Source organism: Homo sapiens, chromosome 10, assembly GCF_000001405.40.
Source record: "Homo sapiens chromosome 10, GRCh38.p14 Primary Assembly".
Lineage (NCBI taxonomy): Eukaryota > Metazoa > Chordata > Mammalia > Primates > Hominidae > Homo > Homo sapiens.
In genome coordinates, this window is record NC_000010.11 from 70,821,915 (window position 1) to 70,845,163 (window position 23,249).

Below are 23,249 nucleotides of genomic sequence, written 5' to 3' on the forward strand. Positions count from 1 at the left end.
GAATTCTTAAGAAATGCTGTCCTTTGCAACATTTCTGCACCACTCTTTTCTTGATTTGCAAACAGCAAGCTTCCCTCAGTTTTGTTTTTTGGGTTCAAAAATTGAATCTTTCCAGGTCCTTGAGCGTCTTTATCTGTGACCCTTGACTCTTTTTCAGGGATGCTTTCTTTCTGAATCTCAAGTGGGATTTAAGCAATAAACTGAAAGATTGACCTTAGGAGCTCTGTTCTATTATTTGAGCCTTGTGTCTTGTTTGTAGGATTTGCTAGAAGAAAGGGAAAATTCATTGGGATTGTTGATAGGACATTAAAAAATTTGTTGACATTTGAGTGGCCATTGCAGGATGAACACTGTATTTGGCAATCTCCCAGTGTTATAGATGAAACAGAGCTGTAATAATTTCCACAGCCTTTGGTTTAAAGGAAAAGAGGGTTATAAACAGATAGAATCCAAATCCCAGTATTTGACTTAGCTTTTCAGTCTATGTGTCAGGAATTTTTAGTAATATTTACCTTCTTAATTAGGTTTTACCCAATCTAATATTATATACAGTTTGTGCACATTGGTGGCAGAATTGAGAATCAGCCTGGGTTTAAGAATTTCCATAGGGAATTGATGTGAATCAGTCTGTATGTGTAAATGTACAGAACCCAATTACTGAGATAAAAACCATGCTGTGGGGGAAGGGGAGATAGGGGCCCTCTGAGAAGATGGAATGGTGAAGGCTGCGAGTAGTTTGTGGATATATCAGTCATATCTTGGCATAATCCAACAGCGTACTAAGGGATCAAGGGACTATTTTCAAGGCTGAGCAGGTTTAAGGAAAACATCTAGGTGAAACATCTAAGGGCTAGCTAGCAATAGGAGAGCCATTATCACTCTTTTTTTTTTTTTTTTGTCATGGCAATTTCACTGAAGCTTTTATTGCCTCTATTGGTAATATGACAGGGACTGTAAGAAACACAATTGAACTTACAGAGATATGCAGATGATATTCACTAAAGATAATCTTCATCTCAAGTATTTTTTATATGTGGGCACTTCTAATTTTATACATTTTTCTATTTAAAAAGCATTACATTTTAAAATTTGTACCTGTTTTGACATTTGGCAAAAAGGAAACTGTACCTATGGTTCAGTTTAAAACAAAGAATCAGCATGGGGAGTTTACCGGAATGAGGACTGAAACACTTAGGAGTTAAAGCAATTCAAGGGGCGTGTGTGTGTCTCTCCCTTTCTCCGTCAATCTCTCTCACTCTCTCTGGCTCTCTCACAGACACAGACTCAAACACACACAGCCATATGTGTAATCATTTTTTAGTACAAAATATTCCCTGTAGCCAGACATTTATCTTCAGAATAATCACACCACATTAAATCAGTCTTCTCTTTTCAGCCCTAGTAAAAGTTTTGTTTAATTCTAAGATGCCATCATAGTGAACAACCTTAACTTTTATCCTACATAATTATATTCAAAGCTTTATGTATTTTTGTTTATAATTACACAGTAATTATAAATGTTTAGTACCAACCTGATGACAAACACTATTTTGTTGAAAAGGTTTTGCATTTAAAAAGAAAAATATGTAAAATCCAAGGCACTAGGCCACGAACCAATATCAGACTTTTAAAGAAAACACTTTATATTGAAAAAAAAAAAAAAAAAAAGCTAATGGGATCTCATTTCAAAACACAGCATATGTGAATTAATCAATCTGAAACCAATAACCATAACTCAAAATCTTCAAGACAGGAAACAAAACAGTACATATATATAGATATATAGATATATATATCTTTTAAAAATTTTTCATAATTGAAGTTCCTCTTTATATTTACAAAAAAATCAGGAAATACTGAAAGCAGCAAGATTCTTCTTTTTCCTTTTTCTTTTAATAACCAATTCCAGTAGCCTGAATAGAAATTTTCAGATTTTTCTTTTGGTAAAACTGCATTCTTGAATTAAAGTTATGATTGGAATATTGATATGTCTATAGGGAAAGCTTTCTAGTCTATTTCAAAATCATGTAAATAAAAAGCAGTTTTGATATGTCATTGTTTCTTAAAATAATTTCCATATTTGCATAAAATGTACTGCTATTCTAAGTACATTCCTTTGTTAATATCAACCCTAGACCTTAGAGAGTGCCTGGATATATATCCCAAGCAGAATCTGTTCCTATCAAAAGACCATAATCATCGAACATTTGAAGCATTACATTTCTAGCCTGCCTTACGGAAATGTTTAAGAAAGCAAGAAACCCTTCTTCACATGTCAGTAAGTGAACAGGGAAATGACCATTTTCAGCATAAAAGCAGCTCATGGGTCTTGTAATGAAAAAAATACATACAAGATAGCATTCTGCTTTGATGAGAAAACTGAGCTAATCTGAGTGAAACAAAAACAGTAAAGAGACTAGAAGCCAGATTGGTATTTTGCATCATGTATGCTTGTTTGAAAATCTTTGCTCCTGAAGTAAATATTTGGCAACCAAGTGATTAGCGACCACAATTTCAACAAAATAATAAGTCATTGAAAATGGACTATTTGTCTGAAAGAGCAATACCTATATTACAAAGATTGAACTTCATGGCTCATTACAACCATTTTCAAAATTTAACTGCAACTATCTTCTTATAAATTAAGAGAGTTTAATTTGTGTTCCATAGTGCGATGACAAAAAAAAAGTAAAAACAAAACAAAAAAACCCTCATGCCTAAATTTAGAATATTGTATTATGTAGCAATCCAAAACATTCAAAACAAATTAAATAGTTTAACTTATGTGACAGGCAGATAAGCATTTCAAAAGCATAATGAAGTCCAATTATGTAGTGCTTAATGTAGACAGGAGAAGAATCTAACATTATGCAGACATTTTCTAAATAAAAGCTCCCTGTAGGACAGCTATATATAAACATGGGTAAGGTAAGCGCAGACTAGTTCTGTGGAACCTTTTGAAATCAAGAGTCTAAAACACAATACATTTTTCAGGTAGGCACCAAGTTATCCTAAAAAATTTTCATGTTGGTTATTCTGACGTTGTTTTTTCTCTTTTTTTTTTTTTTTGAGACAAGTCTTGCTCTGTCGCCCAGGCTAGAGTGCAGTGGCTCGATCTCGGCTCACTGCAACCTCCGCCTCCTGGGTTCAAGTGATTCTCCTGCCTCAGCCTCCCAAGTAGCTGGGATTACACTCTTAAGCCTGTGAGAGGGCAAGGAAGGGAGTAGTTTCTGGAACTTTGAGAGAGTTGAGATGAAGGAGAAGGTAACCTGTAGGAATGCCAGCCAGTGACCCAGTAGGAAAGGCATCAAGGGGAATAAATACTTCAAACTCTTTTGCTACCCTCTGATCTCCTGCTGTAGCCTCCCATTGGTCTAATACAACTGGAAACCAGAGGTTAAGGAGTCTGGTTGATTTAATTCAGAGGGTGGAATCCGGAGGCACATAGCCGAGCTGGAAAATGCTGGATGGAGGATCTGGAGGAGGAGATCATCTGGAGGGGAGAACATCCAGCATGCTGGAGTTGAGAGGTCTAGTTTGTCTTAAAAGGCACAAATGAGGAGATAATTCTTGAACAGAATCTTGAAGGTGGATAGCATATGGATTATAGAAAGGGAATGTTCCCACTGATTTTAACAGGATAGATTCAGAGGCACACAGTTGCCACAGCTTTGGCAAGCCCAAAGCTGCTTTGTTCCAGTAGTAGCCTTAGAATCTTAATTGCCTGGAGGGCCTTTAAAAGTACTGCAGTCCAGCTTTCTTGCTGCCTAGGAATCCCTCTACAATGCCCTGTCAGGAGTGAGTGCTACATACTTTCTCAGGGGGTTCTTTCCACTGTTGGACAGCTTTAATTTTTAGAAAATTTTTCATGTGTCCAGATCACTGAATGCATCAGCTAGAATTAGGTTTGAGTGTATATAACAGAAAAACCTAAAGTAATAGAGATTTTTTAAAAGACATAAATATATTTCTTTAAGAGAAAACTGGCCTGGCGCGGTGGCTCACGCCTGTAATCCCAACACTTTGGGAGGCCGAAATGGGCGGATCACTTGAAGCCAGAAGTCAAGATCAGCCTGGGCAATGTGGTGAAACCCCGTCTTTACTAAAAATACAAAAATTAGCCGGGTGTGGTGGTGGGTGCCTGTAATCAATCCCAGCTACTCAGGAGGCTGAGGCATGAGAATCGCTTGAACGCGGGAGGTGGAGGTTGCAGTGAGCCAAGGTCACACTACCGCACTCCAGCCTGGACGACAGAGTGAGACTCTCTCAAAAAAATTACAACACAGTACAATACAATACAACACAACACAACAATACAATACAATACAGTACTACAGTACAATACAATACAATGCAATGCCAGTACAATTCCATTCCATTCCATTCATTCCCATTCCATTCCATGCCGATAAGGCCATTCCTGAGTCTTTGAGGTGCCAGGCTGCTTCTGTCTGTCATTCCGCTATCAGTAGTGCATCCCCTCCTGGGCCAGGGTAGCTGCCTGGGGTTCTACCTGTCAGGTTCATGTTTCATTCATGAAGAGGAAGAGGAAACGGAAAAAGAAGGGCTTGCCCTCCATTTTAATTAAAAATTATTTTGGAATTTATTATACGTGCAGAAGAGTATAGAAAGCACATATCTACATTTTAATGAACAATAATAAAACAACGATACCAGATTAGGATATAAACCATTTATCTCTAACTCTACGCTTCACCCTGTTACAAATATTTCCTTTCTTCCCCTCTATGGATAACCCCATCCTGACTTTTATAATTATTCCCTTGCCTTTTTAAAAATAGTTTTAACCACCTGTGTATGCATCCTAAGTTTAGTTTGTTTTTTTTTAAACTTGATGTAAATGGATGCATATGTATTTTTATTTTTGTGATTTTCCTGTGTTGCTCAGTATTCATGCGATCCATGTTATTGCATGTAGTTTAAGTTCATTCATTTTTATTGCTGTATATATAGTATTTTATTGTGTGACTAAACTGCAGTTATTTATCCATTTGACTTATAATTCACATTTGGGTTGTTTCCAATTTGAGGCTTTTTCAAACATTGCTGTTATGAGCGTTCTTATATAACAAGTGATCACAAGTGCAAGAGTTTTTCTGGGATTTGTGCCTAGGAGTGGAATTGCTGATTGTAAAGGCATACATGCCTAACTTCACTAGATATTGCTAAACTTTTCTGAAGAGGCCAATACAATTTATACCACTATCAACAATATATGAGAGTTATTTCCACCCAACTTGGCAAACCTGATATTTATAAAGCTTATTTTTTGACAATCTGGTAAGCAGATAAATGTAATTGTAATTTCCGTATGCATTTCCTGATAACTGATGTGGTTAAGTACCCTTTTCAATGTTTACCAACCACTTGGATTTTCTGTTTTGTGGCTGCCTCTTCAAGTCATATGCCTTATCAGTTATTTCTCCTTTTTAGTTCTATTATTAATAGATTTTGCTGTATATTTGCTGAGATTTTGTTACTAGGTGCATTCAGATTTAAAATTGTTACATCTTGTAAGTTGAGCTTTTCATATAATTTGCTTTTTGACATAATATAGCTACATCAGCTTTTTGTCATGAAATAGGAAACTTCAAATGTATGATAAATGAATGAGTTGCCTGTTAGTATAGGCAGAAACTGCAGAACAATCCTAGCCCATTATTCAGGCTTTATGTATCAGCGATTTGTTCTGTTATCCCATAAAGTGAATGAGTCATTTTTGAGTTTAAAAAAATCATAGGGCTTTTTTTTTGAGGTCCAATTTGCATACAGTAAAGGGCACAAATCTTAATTATCCAGGTCAGTAAATATTTATGTATGAATATACTTCCAGATCAAGATATTAAACATTTCCAGCACTCCAGCCAGCTTCTTAATGTCCCTCCCAGTTGATACCTACCAAAGGTTTTGCTTAGTTTTGCTGATTTTGAACTTTACATAAAGTGGAAACATACAGTATATTCTCTTTTGTGAGTGGCCTTTTTGCTCAACATTGTGTTTGTGAGATTCAGTCATGTTCTTAGGTAGCATTAGTTTTTCTTTCTTATTGCTGTGTAGTGTTACAATGTATAACTATATTATAACTAATTTGTTCTGTAGTTGTAGAACATTTATGTTTCTAGTTTTTTGGCTATTGTGAATGACACTGCTGCCTTCTTGAACATGTCTTGGTAAACATAAAATGTAGAGTTGCTGTGTGGTAACGTGTACTGCCAAACAGATTTCCAAAGTGGTTGTACTAATTTACGCTACCAGAGTTTTAATATATAACTTCTTGATTTAGCTTTGGGCAGCAAATGTTAAATTTCTGTCATCTGCATACCACACATGGAGAAGAGCACTGAGAACTCTTTCCTGAAGTTGTATAGGCACTTTTATTTTATTTTTTATTTTTATTTTTTTCGGAGACAGGGTTTCACCCTGTTGCCCAGGCAGGAGTGCGGTGGTGCGATCATGGCTTCCTGCAGCCTTGAACTCTGGGTCTCTAACCATCCTCATTGAGAAGCCTCGGCTTCCTAAAGTGCTGCGATTATGGGTGTGAGCCACTGTACCCAGCCTGTACAAGCAATTCTAAAATGTGAAATGCCCTTCCTTTTCTGTAATTTCCCCAGAGAGTAAAGCCTACTGCATTCTTGTTTATCTAGTCTGTAAATGTTAATACACAATTGATGGGAACAAAGCAACCTTAGTTCTTTTTGAGTATGAAAAGGACCCTGTTAAGGGCAGAATTTAAAATATTTGTAGTAGTTAATTCTCAGGTTAAAATCATAATCTTCTAGAATGCTTTAGATTCTAAGTGGCTATTGTAGTAACACTTTATACTCAATATTGGGGGACCATGTTTTTTGGAGGCTTTCACTGAAGCATTTAATTCCATTCTTTTGAATTCGTTTTGACAGATGGGTCTAAAAAGGAATAGATCAATTCTGTATTGAATTCCAGTCTTAATGGCACCGAGTCTTTGAGACAATTGAGGCAAATTGGAAATTCTGTTTTCACATTCTTCTGAAAGGGGATGCCTTTCAGAAGTGTCCTGAAGGGCGCTGGGGAGGGCAAATATGAGGATGCCAGGGTAAGTCTGCTCCCTGTCTGGCTGTGTTGGGCCAGAGTGGAAGAAAGCCTAAGACTCTGTTACCCAGCCCTTTCTGAAAATGTTTTCAAATGCTTTCCCAACAATCACGACCACAAGAGTCAACAGTCTGTTTGGATGACTGAAAACACACAGGTTTACGATCTGTAAAGATAGTAGGTAAGTGATTTAATCTTGTTGTATAGGTAGGCCAGAGGGCACTCGCAGCCTTCTGATTGATTTAATAGATTGTTGAAGATTAAGAGTTGACTTAACATCTCTCTTAGAAAACTGAGAAATAGCTCATTACTAAGGTGTGTTTTATTACCACCGTCTGTAAGAAAATACAACATAGGCATGGGAATCAAACTACTTAAAGCCTCTTCCAGCTCCTTTGTGACTGGGAAGGTTACTTTTCCTTGTTGCTTATTGAAGAGAAAAGGAAAATGTTTATCATTGGATAATTCAGGTTCACTGAATATTTAATGAGTGTTTATTATCTGCAGTCATTTTCTTATTACCTTATCTCATTTAATATTCACAACAACCCTGTGAGTGGACGATGGTATCTTTTTTTTTTCTCCTGAACGTTTTGTTGAATTATCCCAATGGCTTCTATTTTTGCAGATGAGCAGAGTCCAGTTGCATAGAGGTTTAGTGTTGTGCCACACATCACACAGCTTCTAAGTGAGAGCTAAAATTAGAGCCGAAGGTTTTGATTACCAGTCCAGACTTTCTAGGACACCACAGCTGCCTTTCTGTAGAACAGATTAACATGACTCTCAGAGTCCGCAAGAGTAGTGGTGAGGTGTCAGTTCAGGGGAATACTCAAAGGTCACTGTCCTTTTCAGATATCTGGGTAGTTGCTACAGTATGTGCTTAGGAATTGCTGGATAAAAAAATATTCTTTAAAATCTCATCATTTTAGTCGTTAATAATTTATTATTATAACTCGTAAAAATATACCTTTAGGCAAGTTATTCTTAGGTAGTTATGGTTGCTTTCATTTGGAGTCCAGAGCTTTACTCTCTATTTCTGGAGTTGCAATTTCTGCTGTCCTTGGCCCATTTAAAAACTTTTTCAGAAGGCCTTTTAAATTTTATTTTTTTATTAAAAGAAAGCCTGTGAATCCAAAGAATCTTAGGTGGTTTCTTAGCTGAAGGGACATTTGGTGAACACAAATGGAACTGTTAGGTCATGATGCTTTTTTAAGTGTACAACTCTGGTGTTTTGTATATTCACAGTTGTGCAGCCATCCCCACGATCAATTTTAGGACATTTTCCAAAGAAACCCAGTACTCAGCAGTCACTTCCTTATTTCCTTCTCACCGGTCCTCAGCAACTACCAGTCTACTTTGTGTAGATTTGCTTAGTCAGGACACTTCATATAAATACAATCATACAGTAAATATGTGGTCTTTCCTGATTGACTTCCTGATTAACCATTCGTTTAATGGTTTCAAGGTTCATCCATGTTGTAGCATGGATCAGAACTGCACTCCTTTTTATTGCAGTTACAGGGCTTTTCCTACAGAATTTTAAGTAATGGATATATCTAACAATGTCTCTTGTTCTCACCTACAGGAGACACAGGATCTTGGGCTTACTTTACTTATATAGGACCTTTTGTAATATCGAGGCTATTTCTATGCTTTATTGTAGAACAGAAGTTATTAACTGGGGAATATGGACCTTTATGACTGGCCTTTAGGATGTCCTGAATTCTTTGTAATTATATAAGATTTTATGTTCACAAGCATTTTCTGGGCGTCGGAGGAGTCTGGAACAGCAAAGATCTCTAGCTTTTGTTAAAAGATAATTTTCGAAAGTAATATCCTGACTCTTATACAGATATAAAATGAACATATGTTGAAGATTTTATTTTACTCCAAAAGAGGAAACCAGGCAGATGTTATAACTGGTTCAAAGGAGAGGTCCAAAAAGCTGCTCATTTATGGATCAGGAATATCAAATGAATGTGCAAATGGAGGCAAAACAACTCTCTGTCATAGGGGTAGGAAAGTCAGGTGAAACTTCACCTGACGGCAGAATTTGCATATTTAGGGATCTAGATTACTTTGCACTGCTATCAGTTATCTACAACTTTCAGAGCCGTAAACAGCCTCCTCATAATCAGAATCTGGTAACCCGGAGGGGCGTCCCAGATAATGCATAATTTTTCATTGGAAGCCGTAGGGAAAAACTCTCTCCTCTACTCTCACACCACAACAATCAACACCGAAGACTTCCGTGACCAAACGTGTGGGATTTTTTTCCCCACACTCCAAGAAGCAGACATCACTGGGTGTCGCCTAATTCAATTCTGACACTGTCTACCTGGAGATAGCATCAGATCTATGGGTTGAGGGCTCAGTCCCAACCCATACCTGTCTCCCCCAACCCCAACCTGTCACAAGTCTGGTCCTTCAAAATGTCTGACTGACTGTCTTCAAGGTGAGGTTCCCATGACCTCCTCTTGGATTGGATTAATTTGCTGGAACAGCTCACAGAACTCAGGGAAACATTTACTTAGGTTTACAGGTTTATTTTAAGGGATACTGCAAAGGTTACAAATGAAGAGATGCATGGGGCAAGGTATAGGGGAAGGGGTGTGGAGCCTCCATGCCTCCCTGGGTGCACCACCCTCCAGGAACCTCCATGTGTTCAGCTATCCAGAGGCTCTCTGAACCCTGTCCTTTTGGGTTTTTATGGAGGCTTAGTTACATAGGCATGATTGACAACCATGTAGAAATGTGACTGGACACAGGAGGCATGATCTCATACTAATAGACTGACCGGAAACCCAGCAAGGCCTGTCTGTTCAGGTTGTCGCTGGCCTTTCTGTGCAGCCTTCCTTCCTCCAGAATATGGGGCACAACCCTCCCAGGAATGAGGGTTTTTTGGCCCACAGTTGGACTAGAGTCTTGCTTTGAGGCAGGTAAAAGAGGACAGGAGAAGGTTGAGAGAGATTCTGTTTCCTGAGGCCCAAAGTGCCCCAGCATTATAATAGAAGACTATAACAAGGGCTATGGGGGTTATGAACCAGGAACCATGGATGCAAACCAATATATACGTATAACATCACAGAAGCACACTTTCCTGCTCACTTTCAATAGATACCACAAAGTTTGAAACTCTTCCAAGTATTAATTTTAAATTAAATTTACTCAGCTGCTTACTTCAGCTTTTAAAAGTAGGTTCTTGGTAATTTCGAAGATGCACTTTCCAAAGGGTGTTTATATAGTTGAAGGTCAGTCAGAGACCTAGGGATAGGTCCCTGCTTATTCTTTTGAGCAGGCTTACGTGTTGGAAATCTCTAGAGAAATAGCTTTAGTTAGGTTACACTTCTCAGCAAATATTCAGTATTCCTCATCTCTAATAGCAGCATGACTGTTGTAGGGAAGGAATTTCCACAAATGGTTATGAAAAGTCTAAGTGTCTTAACTCCCAGACAAAGATAGAGAATTCTGTTAGTAAGATAAGTATGGGACTGGAGAAGTCAGCTAACCTCTGCCCTTCCCCAATCGTGATATGCTCAGAGAAGTTAAGACTTCTTTCTGTGTGAGAAATACGGGATCTTTTCCACTAGATCTTGCTTATTATCCAAGAAATTATCATTTCTAGTTTTAGAGAATGATGAAACTCATTTGTGCTTTGAAATATAACCTGTATACATGTGCACAGTAAGTCATTTAGCTATTTATTGTCAGACTCTGAGAGTTCATAGCAAACTTAGCAACATTCCATGTGCAAATTTGCATATTTTTCCCCCCATATCTTACCTACTTGCCTTAGGCTGGGAGTCTATTTTCCTACAAAACTGGTAATTGCTCTTATCTCTGTGTCCTTCAGTGTGTTCCTCTGCTTATTGAATTCAGTTTTATGCATTTAGTCTTCTCTCCTAGTATAAGCTGCTCCTGATACTTTTAAATATGTATTTCAGAAGAGAGGTGCTCAGAATTGTTACTTAACAGAATCAGCATCTCCCTTTACTTGATGCCTTGTCCTGACCACAAGTACATTAATAAAGTGACCATTTAGCAGTGTTTCGGGTTCAGCTTTTAGGAACTTAGAAGCTGTGGTTTTCCATGAGTGCACTTCTGATGACTTGGGAACATTTCATATGTGTGTTCTTTCTGTGGCCAAGATGGTTTTGTTATTTCAGGGATGGAAAGATGCTTTGCCTGAATACTCCCATGCTAAGTGTATAGCAGTTGGTGCTTGGGGAATGGTACCAAGTGTACATATCTGGCAAGGCCAGGCTAGAAGGGAAAATGTAGACTCTTAAGCTTTTTGAGACGAACTTCTCAGATACTGGATCTCTTGACTCACATAGTGGAATTTTGGGGGAAGTATGTGGTTTGCTTTTTGTCTCCTAAGAAATGATGATTCAGTTTCCTCAAACGTTTCTCACAGTCACTACTGGTTGCTTGGAATGGCTGTCTGGTTTTGTTGCTCAGTTCTTACTTCTTTAATGACCCAAGAGGATTTTCCCTTTGGGGTTGTGATGTGTTTTTGATGATAAACTTTAATGCTTTTGGAGGCTATAAAGACAATAGTATTTTCTTACCTGTTTACCTTGCACTTTGAAGTTCTGTAGACTGTAATATGAAAGAAAATCAGATTAAATTAGCTTTGCTTTCTGGCTTTTCTTTTTTTGGTGGGGGGGCAGAAGCTGATAAGAATAAATATACTAACTGAGTCTCTTCTGTATTTTAACTTCACTCCCTAGGCTGAGGCTTAGTCCTTAGAGTAACATTTGAACTGGGTAGAACAGATTTTTCTTTTCCTCAACAGCCCATTCCTGCTGTAAAGCTCAGATTTATGGTCCTTCTGGAAAAAGTATTGAGCGTTGAATAGTTCAGGAAAACAAATAACAAATTCTGTCTTCTTTGCAGGATTGTGGGGTAGAAGATTTTGATTTTTATTAGTATCTGGCCAAAGAATAAATATTAGGCAGGAACAATGAATTGATATCTAGTAGAGTGACGTGACTGGGCCCTGACTTTTAACACTTCCCAGGAAAGCTTCGTGGATGTCTTTTCCCTGCTGCGTGAATACCGGGTAGCCATTAAGTTTGGTGATTGGGTGTCAGTAATATGTTAAGTCAGCTACTGGGTCATCTTTTAATAAAAGAAAAGGATGGGGAAGAGAATGGATTCTTAAGCAGTGTTGCCTGTCAGAATCACCGGAGGGAGGTTTACAAAATACACATTCTGTACTCTGACCCTGTGGGTGGGGTATTCTGACCCAAGAAGATGATTCGTTCCAGGAATCATGCTTCTTGGATGATATTGATGTACCCCCACTGGCTTTATGGAAAGAATATTGAAGAAGAAGATAGATTCTCTTGGGGGCTGTGCCTCTAGTTTGAAACCAGGGAAGGCACATTTTGGTATTAGTCTGTGGCCTCAGTTTCTTCATCACTGCAATGAGATTGGACTATAGGTGGTCTCTAAGGTTCCTTCAGACAGTAGCATTTTATGATTTTGAAGACAACTTTTCTGAAGTACTTTTCAAACTAATTTCTTTCCGTCTTTCTTTTGTAAGCAAATAAGTAGTATGAGTGTAAGTCTCTAGCTCAGAGAAGAATGAAGTTTGCAGTTCGAAAAGGCCATGCAATAGCAGTTCACTTCCCCAAAATGCTCAGCCCTTGTAGGATGCCGTTAGGTCATCTGGAAGTTCTGTATGCCTTCACTGGGAGCGTAGTGAAGATGAGAGCCTTTCCTTTGGCTCTTGGAGTAAACTAGCTGACAGGACTTTGAGAACTGTTGGTCTCCTGATTTGTGCCACTGATAGTTTGGCTCTGGAAAACTAGGCAGTGGAAAAAACAATGCATTTTAAACCAGAAGATTTGAGTCCTGGCTCCGCTATTTCCGAGCTTTGTGACCTGTAGGCCTCAATGTCTTCATCTGTGAAGGACAGGTTCAGCTCTGATGGCCTATGATGTGATGAACCTTGTGAACTTGTAGGCAGAGTGCCACGGTGTGCAGAGTCCAGTTACAGATAACCAGCCATTCTCCTCTGCAGATTCAACCCACTGCCACTGTGTCTTGTTAAGCTTAAATAGGAGAGATGTGGGAGAGAGGAGGCAGAAACATCCTAGGATCTTGCAAAACAAAACTGTCAAAAGTATAGGCAATATCATAATTACTTTATTTGAATAAACGTTGAGTTCCTGCTGTGTTGAAGATGCTGTTTTAGGCAGTGTAGGAGATAGAAGACTTATATCCTCCTCCTAATTTGTATTCTTATCAGCACCTGGTACCATAGAGAGTTCATATATTAAAATTATTTGGTTGTTCTCCCTAACCAGAGTTGAATTCTTTCCTTCTAGGACAAATTAACTCATAATGCAATAGGCTAATGCAGTTTGGCCCTGAGTGACTCTTGAGAAATACCCTGAGTTGAGGCACACTGGAAACGTGGCACATTAGAAATGCCAAGAAGAGGCCGGGTGCGGTGGCTCATGCCTGTAATCCCAGCTCTTTGGGAGGCCGAGGCGGGTGGATCACGAGGCAGGAGATCGAGACCATCCTGGCTAACACGGTGAAACCCTGTCTCTACTAAAAATACAAAAAATTAGCTGGGAGTGGTGGCGGGTGCCTGTAGTCCCAGCTACTTGGGAGGCTGAGGCAGGAGAATGGCTTGAACCCGGGAGGTGGAGTTTGCAGTGAACCAAGATTGCACCACTGCACTCCAGCCTGGGTGACAGAGCAAGACTCCGTCTCAAAAAAAAAAAAAAAAAAGAAATGCCAAGAAGACATTGTACAGGAGAATGAAGGGAAACTTTCTGTAGGGAAGTAGCTTTCCCAGAAACTTGACTCTATAATGAAGCTATAGAGATCAGTAAAATCATTAGGGCATTACTGTTTTGAACATTTCCTTGAGTGAATAACAGACTTACACTCAGGGCCCTAGGTCTCTGTTGTGGCCCAGCAAGCTGCATTCAGACAAGGAGGCAGTTTGAGAGGTACGAGTTGTTATGGAAGCCTGAGAAAACTGGTTTGTGTGCACTTCAGTTTTGACCATACAACCTTCACTCACTTAGCACTGTGCAGTAATCCACTGAGCAAAATTGCCACATTTTCCTTGGCAGGGAATCTGTGTGCCTGTGGCAGTTCAGAAATTATTTGTAGAGTGGGTCAGCCTGTCAGCAGGAATGTTTTTCTTTGATCTTCAGCCTGTTTTTCTTTAATGTGAGCAGAACAGTAAAGAGAGAATACATTGGAATATCTTGTTGGTTCCCCTGTTTGGCTTTACCTACAGCTCTTTGGTTTTCTTCTTTTAGGTCATACTTTCCCAATTAGTATGTAGGTATTTATGATGTTTTGAAGCCCAGAGCGATGGTTCCAATATCTTGTGGAATTCAGCTCTGAGTGTGAAGTCCTGACTTTGCCTCTTTCTATCAGTTTGACTGAGCAAGTCACTTAACCTTTCTTGACTTCAGTTTTCCCCATCTATAGAGTGATACTGCACACTGGTTTCTTTTCTTTTCTTTTTCCCCTTCCTTTCCTTTTCCTTTTTCTTTTCCTTCCCTCTCCCTCTCCTCCCTTTGCCTTTGCCTTTCCCTTTCCCTTTCCTGAGATAGAGTCTCACTCTGCCGCCCAAGTTGTATTGGAGTGCAGTAGCATGCTCATAGCTCAATGCAGCATCAAATGCCTGGGCTCAAGTGATCCTCCTACCTTAGCCTGCCAAGTAGCTGGGACTACAGGAGTGTGCCACCATGCCTACTGCTTTTTTGTTTGTTTGTTTTTTAAATTTTTTTGTAGGGATGGGAACTTGTTATGTTGCTCAGGCTGGTCTTGAACTCCTGGCCTCAGGGGATCCTCCTGCCTTAGCCTCCCAAAGTGCTGGGATTACAAGTACTTTATAATGTGTAAATGGCCTGTACATTCTTAATCTAATAGCCTCATGAGGTTATAAAATACAAATAAAATAACATGAAAGCCATTTAGAGTTTTAAGGTGTATAATACCATGTATTCTCATTAATTAAATTTTAATAAATTTAAAAGATAAAATTATTTTTATAAAATAAATTTATTTTTAAAATTTTAATTACGTTAAAAAGTTAATGCTTTTTTTTTTTGAGACAGAGTCTTGCTCTGTCACCCAGGCTGGAGTACAGTGGTACGATCTTGGCTCACTGCAACCCCCGCCTCCCAGGTTCAAGCGATTCTCATGCTTCAGCCTCCTGGGTAGCTGGGACTACAGGTGTACGCCACCATGCCTGGCTAATTTTTCTATTTTTAGTAGAGACAGGGTTTCCCCATGTTAGCCAGGCTGGTCTCAAACTCCTGACCTCAGGTGATCTACCCACCTCGGCCTCCCAGAGTGCTGGGATTACAGGTGTGAGCCACCATGCCTGGCCAAATTAAAAAGTTAATACTTTTTAAGTGCTTCACTCTTTCCTGTGCATGTTGTCTTGGCCTCTTTTTCTAAATTAGTTTTATTCCCTCTGTAATCAGAGGGTCACCAAATCTTTGAGTTTTAGAGGGAAGAGAAAGTTTTTAGTGAAACAAGTGGGTGAACTCTGATCCCTGTAAAATAGTGCCTTCATACAGTAGGCACTCCAAAAATAATTGTTGAATGACTGAAACTCTTAAACAGCAGTAAGCATACGTATAGCAGAGACAACATTACAGAGTAGAGCTCTTTCTAGGTTGGCATGGTAGATAGCTCTGAGGGACTACCTGAATGGAGATGCCATTGCTTTTGAATAAAACAAATATACATGGTGTCTTAGTCCATTTTCTGCTGTGATAGCAGAATACCACAGATTGGGTAATTATAAACAATAGAAGTTTATTTGGCTCGTGGTTCTAGAGGCTGGGAAGTCCAAGAGCATGGCACTGATATCTGGTGAGGGCCTTCTTCTTGCTGAATAATAACATGTCAGAAGGGCAAGTGAGCACGCGAGCTAGAGGGGATGGGCCAAGATGTCATCCTTTATCAGGAGCCCACTCCCAAGATAATGGCATTAATATACTCATGAGGGCAGAACCCTCCTGATCTAAATCACCTCTTAAAGATCCCACCTCTCAACACTGTTACAATGGCAATTAAATTTCAACGTGAGTTTTAGGGGGGACATTCAAATCATAACAGGTAGTTAGCCCTGTTGAGTAATGGAGAAAGGATTGTATTAGTTCCAAGGAAAGATGCATCATCCAGTGTGGGTCTGGAAATATTTGCCAGATGGCTTTTCTCTTTTAGTAATATTCATTTGTGGAATGTTTCTTTAGGTATAAATTGGTGCTGAAGTAATTTGATAAGGAAAAAATATCACTGCCTAATTGGTATTTGGTCACGAGCAGTACCAGTTCGTAAGATTTTTTTGGAGGTAGCAAGGGGTGGATAGTGCTACTATTGGAAGTTTGCTTATGGAATCTTTTGCTCTCTTGAAGTGATTTGGAGATTAAAAGAGTTTAGTATCATTGGGGATAGCTGTGGTCTACTGTCAGTTAGGAAGTAACTCATGACTAGATATCCTGGGCTTATTACTTCAGCTCATATTCCTGACCTCACAAAAATGTTAAGAGAATAAATCGTAAGTATAAAAAGCACTGAGATTGTGTAGAGTGGAAAATAACATTAGTGTTAGCTCCCTCACTGTATTACACAACCACATTCTAAATTTAAGGAAGCCAGAAGTAAAATCACTCTGAAGCACTGCTTTTGAAACTGCAGATTATGATCCATTTAGAGGGACACAAAATCAGTTTAGTATATCAAGCGTTAAAGAAGGAAGAAATAGAAATGTGAGTACATTACAAGTAATAAGGTGCTAAGTATTATTTTGGAAACTTTTGGTTTTATATGTTTCTGTTTCTACATGTATTAGATTGTGTTGTAAAAGACATTTCTTTGGGACTGTATTTTACAACACAGTCTCATACACGTAGACTCTAATACACATATTGAAACAGTTTGAAACTCAGTGGTCTAACAAGTAGCATACCCCAAATTTACAATATTTGTAGCCTTCTGCTGTTGGGTACATTCATGAAAAGGTCTTGCATCCTTAAAGTGAAGGCTGAAAGAGTTTTATGTCATTGGGGCGAGTGGGCTACCAAGCTCCCATAAATTCTAGGAGCTGCCTTTTGTCTAACGATTAGGATTATTGAGTACTATTTTGATGCCTTTTGGGTATCATCTGAAATGTAATCATTGAATTGGAAATGGAATAAACAAGAGAAAGGCTAGTTTACTCATTATTTGACAATAGCTCTTTAAAGTAGTTAATATTATGAATATTCCTACTACTAAGGTTTATAAGAGTTTGTTTTTTTCTTTAATGTTATACTTTAAAAAGTATTATTCATTCACTGGGCAAATAATTTTTTTTTCTAGAGGAATACCTTTCCAATTTTATAACAGTGAAGGAAGGAATGTTTTACTTATAGAAACTGTACTGAAACTACTGTTCTATTAAGCAAGGGTTGGAGATAAGCACCCCTGTCCCCCTTCCCTGCCCAGGCACACACATATACAGATACAGCTTATTTTATGACTGTATTGTTCTTGTGTTTCTTCTTCTAGATAAAGACATAAAGATTGATGAAATAATTTACCTGGAGTTGCACAGTAAGCTAGTGGCCTTTGTGGATGACCATTCATAGTTCATATATTTCCAGAGACACAATACATTGATAAAATTGAAATAAACAGAAGCCTAAGAATTATAAGTATATATTCAGAGATATATAGACAAAAAAGTACTGTTATAAGTAAAAAGACATAGTGGGAATAGTAATTATAATCACATGAACTTCTGTGCCATCTCTATCTAGATCAGGGGTGTCCAGTCTTTTGGCTGTCCTGGGCCACATTGGAAGAAGAATAATTGTCTTGGGCCACACATAAAATATACTAATGATAGCTGATGAGCTTAAAAAAAAATAAAAATTGCAAAAAAAAAAAGTCTCATGATGTTTTAAGAAAGTTTACAAATTTGTTTTGGGCTACATTCAGAGCTGTCCTGGACTGCATGTTGGACAAGGTTGATCTAGATGTTTATCTGTAGTCATGACCTAACTATATAATTTTAGTATGTTATACATGGTACCATGTATCCAGGGTAGATCCTGCCAAGAACATAAATTGTGAAAAGAAAACTCTTGGGATGCTGCTGGATTGTAATGTGTTACTCCTCTGCCCATGAATACTGAAAATCAAGATTTGAAAGGGTACTGAATACTGAGTCAAAAGGCATGCGTTCCTAGACTTCACTTAATCACAAGCATGTCTGTATGAGCGTAGTCATGTCATTTCACTTTGGGGTCTCTGCTTGTAAAATGAAAATGTTAGACTTGATCTTCCAGGTTCCCTTCAGCTCTTACATTCTGTGCTTCCCAAGGGCTAGAGTATTGCATCAGGACCCAGCCTGGGGTTTGTGCTGTTTTCAAGGTCCTAAGGAACTGCATCATCCTTTAGTCCAAGGAGATAGGATACCTTATGCCACAGAGCCCAATAATTCAGTGAGCTGTGAGTGTTGTGAGTTGCATCTACATTGGGGACTGAGCCTAGGTTGTTTGTAGTAACACTAGGAGGACCTTAGAATGATGCCAGGAGATGTAATTTCTGTGATCAACTAGTTGACTACTCAAAAAGCTTGTCAGGACCCATCCAACTACAGTGTCATTCTGTCTTTGGTGTTAAAGAATTTAGATTTATCTCCTTTTAAAGGACCTCCTTTGAATTTAAGAATTGCCATTATCTTCATAAGAATCAAAACAAATACAAAGAAAATATATTCTTGCTGAATGTAATTTTTAAATGTTAGTGAGGAATGTCTTTATATCTTAATTTTAAGGCTTTTAAAAATTAGTTTGCATTTGCTGGTTCTTTGCTGTCACCCTAATACTGGTTATGTTACTTTTTTGCTCAGTGCTGTGAATTGTTCATAATATCTATAGTCATCTTTTGACATTGGTAACTTCTGTTTTCTGGGTGAATTAGGAATTAGTATCACCAGAAGAAAAGCTAATCTGAATAATTGTTCTTTCATCATCTCGTTCATGCACAGTATTTAACCATCTGGTTTGACCACAACTTTCACACTAGACGAGTCTTTATAATGATAGAAATCATGACATACTTTTGATGATAGACTCCTCTGGTCTTTCCCAGGTTTTGGCTGGTATTGCCATTGCTTTGGATTGAGGTTGTTGATGCAACAGTGGGCTCTGGGGAATGGCCACCAAGAACTGTTGGGGAATTGCAGATAAACTGTCTCCATGGGTAGCCCTCCAGGGAACTTAGTAGTTGTCTAATGTTAATTACCTTATACCACAGTCTAATTACTAAGAGTATTGTCTGAGTCCATTCAGGCTGCTATAACAAAATGCCATAAACGTGGTGGCATATAAACAAAAGTCCATTTCTCTCAGTTCTGGAGGCCAGGAAGCCCAAGAGCAAGGCAACAGCAGATATGGTGCCTGATGAGGCCCACTTCCTGGAAGGTGGCCTTCATAAAAGTGGTTCATAGAAAATGTCTTCTCACTGTATCTTCACATGGTAGAAGGGGCAAATTTGCTCTCTGGGGGTCTCTTTTATAAAGTCACTAATCTTATTCACGAGGCCTCTGCCTTCATGATCTAATGACCCCCCAAAGGCTCCCTCTTCCTCCTACCATCAGCTTGAGGGTTAGATTTCAACATATGAATTTTTGGGGGATGTAAACATTCAGTCCATTGCAGGTATAAATGTTTTCAACAAGCATTTGTTGAGTATCTGTCCTTTTTCTAAGCTTTCATGTTCCTACTAGAACACTGGATGTGGATATCCAATAGGAATATATTTAAGTCAGTATCATTATCTTTTTCTCAAAACATCTTCTACCTTTTTTACCTTCCCTTCCTCTTCTAGTCTTACCATAGTTAATACTGATATTAACTGTTAACATCATAGTTAACCAGTCTGTCGAACTTGAACTTGAAAATTTTGAATGATCTATACCCACACCCGAAAAAATTACTCACATACTTAAAAATCCATGCCTTTTGTTTTGTTTTATTGCTGTTGTTTGTAATTTACTTATTTTTACCTGATACTATGTTCTGGAAATTTTTCTACGTAGTTCATGTAGATCTGTCTTCTTCTTAATGTTTCATGGTATGGGTACATAAAATGCACGTATTATAGTTTATTTAACCATTCTTCTGTGGGTGGACATTTACATTATTTTTTCCCTTTTGTTAGAGAATACTGAAATGAATATCCTTGAACATGTTTATTTGTATACATGTGCAAAGTATGCAGATGCCAAAAAGTGAGATTGCTAGGTCAAAACGAACATGCGTTTAAAATGTTGATAGATACCAACAAATTGCTTTACAAAAGTTCCTATCAGTTTGTATATCAGTTTTTCTAAGTCCTTTTTAAACATGGACTGGATTAGCCCGTTCTTGCATTGTTGTTAAGAAATACCTGAGTCTGGGTAATTTATAAAGAAAAGAGGGTTAATTGGCTCATGGTTCTGCATATTTGTACAAACATGGCTTCAACATCTGCTTCCGGTGAGACCTCAGGAAGCTTACAATCATGGCGGAAGGCAAAACTTGAGCAGGCACGTCACATGGCAAGAGTGAGAGCAAGAAAGAGAGTGGGGGGAGGTCCTAGGCTTATAAACAACCGGATCTCACCTGAACTAACTGAGCAAGAACTCATTCATGAAAGATGCACCCCCGTGATCCAGTCATCTCCCACCAGACCTCATCTCCAATGTCGGGAATCACATTTCAACATGAGATTTGGAGGATAGGCATCCAAACCATATCATGGACCTAGCATACTTCTCCCAGCCTCACGTCTCTGATTTAAGTGTTCACTCATTTACTTGGGCACTGTTACTTGGGCACTGTCAGCCCCTGTCCATGTTTGTATTCAGTATAAATTGTGTGCCGGGCACTCTGCCACATGTTGGGGATTTAGTACTGGATGAGACAGAAATGGTCCCTGCCATCATGTAGCTTACACTTTGCCACATAGAACTTTTGCCATATGCAGACTCTTTTTATGCATTTGCAGCTACTATCCTCTCTTTCTGGTATGACTTTTTTCCTTTTAACTTTTCTACCTAGAGAATTTTCTTTCATCCTTTTAACCAGCTTAAATTTTGCCCTCTGTCATTATCTTTATCCCTTCAGAGTTAGATAGTCCTTCCTCAGTGCTCCATCTTGGCACTCATATGCTTTTTGTGGCTATTCCCCTGAGAAGTTTTCGTGATTTGTTTGTATATGTATGTGCCTGTGTGTGTGTGTGTGTGTGGACACACATCTACATCTTGCATATTAGATTGTAAACTCAGTATAGACTTGGAACTATGATATGTACCTGAACACTTCCCCAGCTTACTGCCTTCAACCCTGGAGATGCTTAATCAATGTTGATTAAGTGAATGAATAGTAAACTATAAAATGACCTTAGTTTGTACAGGGCATTGTAGGGGATTGTAGATATGAATAGAACTGGTCTGTCTTCAAGAACTTAACCATATAGTCAGGGAGATAAGAAACAGATGAGTAGACTGCAAGGCAGGTTGTGATAAGCTCTGTATAGGACTTATCAAAAATGAGTACTGGAGGAGAATTTAAAGGGAGAGAGGAATTCTCGTGAATGAGATACTCTGGTAAGTTTACAGAGGACAGGTTTTTTCTTGCTCGTACCAGGTGTTGTGAGGAATACACATGATGGTAAGATATGGTTGCTGACTGAGAGATTATAGTCAAGTAAGGCCTTAGAGCAGGCATTGGTAAATTGTGGCCTGCAAGCCAAATCTGGCTCTTGCCTGCTTTTATATGGTCCTTGTGCTAAGAATGATTTTTACATTTTAAAAATTGTTAAAGAATATTTTATGAACATGAAAATTATATGAAATTCAAGTTTTGGTGTCTGTAATTACATTGTGTTGGAACACAGCCATGTTCCTTTGTTTACACAATAACTGACTATATTTGTACTCCAGCAGCAGAGAGGAGTAGTTGTAAAGGAGAATGTTTGCTTTGCAACACTTAAAATATAAAATAATTTAGTATCAAGCTCATTACAGAACCAGTTTGCTGACTACTGGGGTAGAGAATAGGAAAGATTCAAATAGAGAAGAGAAATGACATTGATATTGGGGGTATTAGTGTGAGTTAAGAGAGTGGGACAGTGATTCTAGCAGTCATATAGAAATTTTAGGGCTGAAGTGACGATCTAGCTTAACCCTCTTACTGTATAAAATAGGCACAAGATTGAAAATAGTCTCAAAGTCCACTAGCTGTTAAGTGGCAGTGGAGTGCTGCTGGAGTGACTGGTACAGAAGCCTTGAGGGCTGTAGATGATAATAAGATTATTGCTGAAGAAGGGCAAGATCCGGAATGACCTTGCCCTTGAAAAATGAGAGTTGAAGTACAAACTAAGAACAGACTTCTTTTCTCTCTCTAAATGTAATGTTTTTATTTTTCACTTGTATTTCTAGAAGGCCTTTGAGCCCTACTTAGAGATTTTGGAAGTATACTCCACAAAAGCCAAGAATTATGTAAATGGACATTGCACCAAGTATGAGCCCTGGCAGCTAATTGCATGGAGTGTCGTGTGGACCCTGCTGATAGTCTGGGGATATGAGTTTGTCTTCCAGCCAGAGAGTAAGTATGCTGTCTCCTCTGTAAAGGTATAGTGGTGTGTCACTAGCCTCAAACTAATTGCTGAGAGATAGGACTAATTTATTGCCTTTTGGTTGTTTTTTTGTTTGTTTGTTTGTTTTTGAGACGGAGTCTCCATCTGTTGCTAGGCTGGAGTGCACTGGCCTGATCTTGGCTCACTGCAACCTCTGCCTCCCAGGTTCAAGTGATTCTCCTACCTCGGCCTCCCGAGTAGCTGGGACTACAGGCACACGCCACCACGCCCAGCTAATTTTTGTATTTTTAGTGGAGATGGGGTTTCACCATGTTGGTCAGGATGGTCTTGATCTCTTGACCTCGTGATCCACCCACCTCGGCCTCCCAAAGTGCTGGGATTACAAGCGTGAGCCACCGTGCCCGGCCCTGGTTTGGTTCTTATTTTTAAAATCTGTTTAAATGTAAAGCAGTACTTTGTCTTCTGATTGGTCAAGTTATAACAGGACTCTTGTATAACTAATACTCCTTACATTGATTTTTTTTGGATTTGTA

The 23,249-nt window shown here is 38.7% G+C and overlaps 1 protein-coding gene across 8 annotated transcripts in view; it reads left to right on the plus strand.

Annotated features, from left to right (window-relative positions):
• Nucleotides 1–23,249, plus strand: part of SGPL1 (sphingosine-1-phosphate lyase 1) — a 65,237-nt gene that overhangs the window by 5,967 nt on the left and 36,021 nt on the right. For all 8 annotated transcript variants that reach the window (NR_199385.1, NM_001438357.2, NM_001438353.1 and 5 more), the window contains one exon: nucleotides 22,559–22,724. Coding sequence is in view for 6 of the 8 variants with exons in the window: in NM_001438357.2 (NP_001425286.1) it covers nucleotides 22,559–22,724 (166 nt within the window). In the remaining 2 variants the exon portion in view is untranslated. The remainder of the gene's footprint in view (nucleotides 1–22,558; nucleotides 22,725–23,249) is intronic.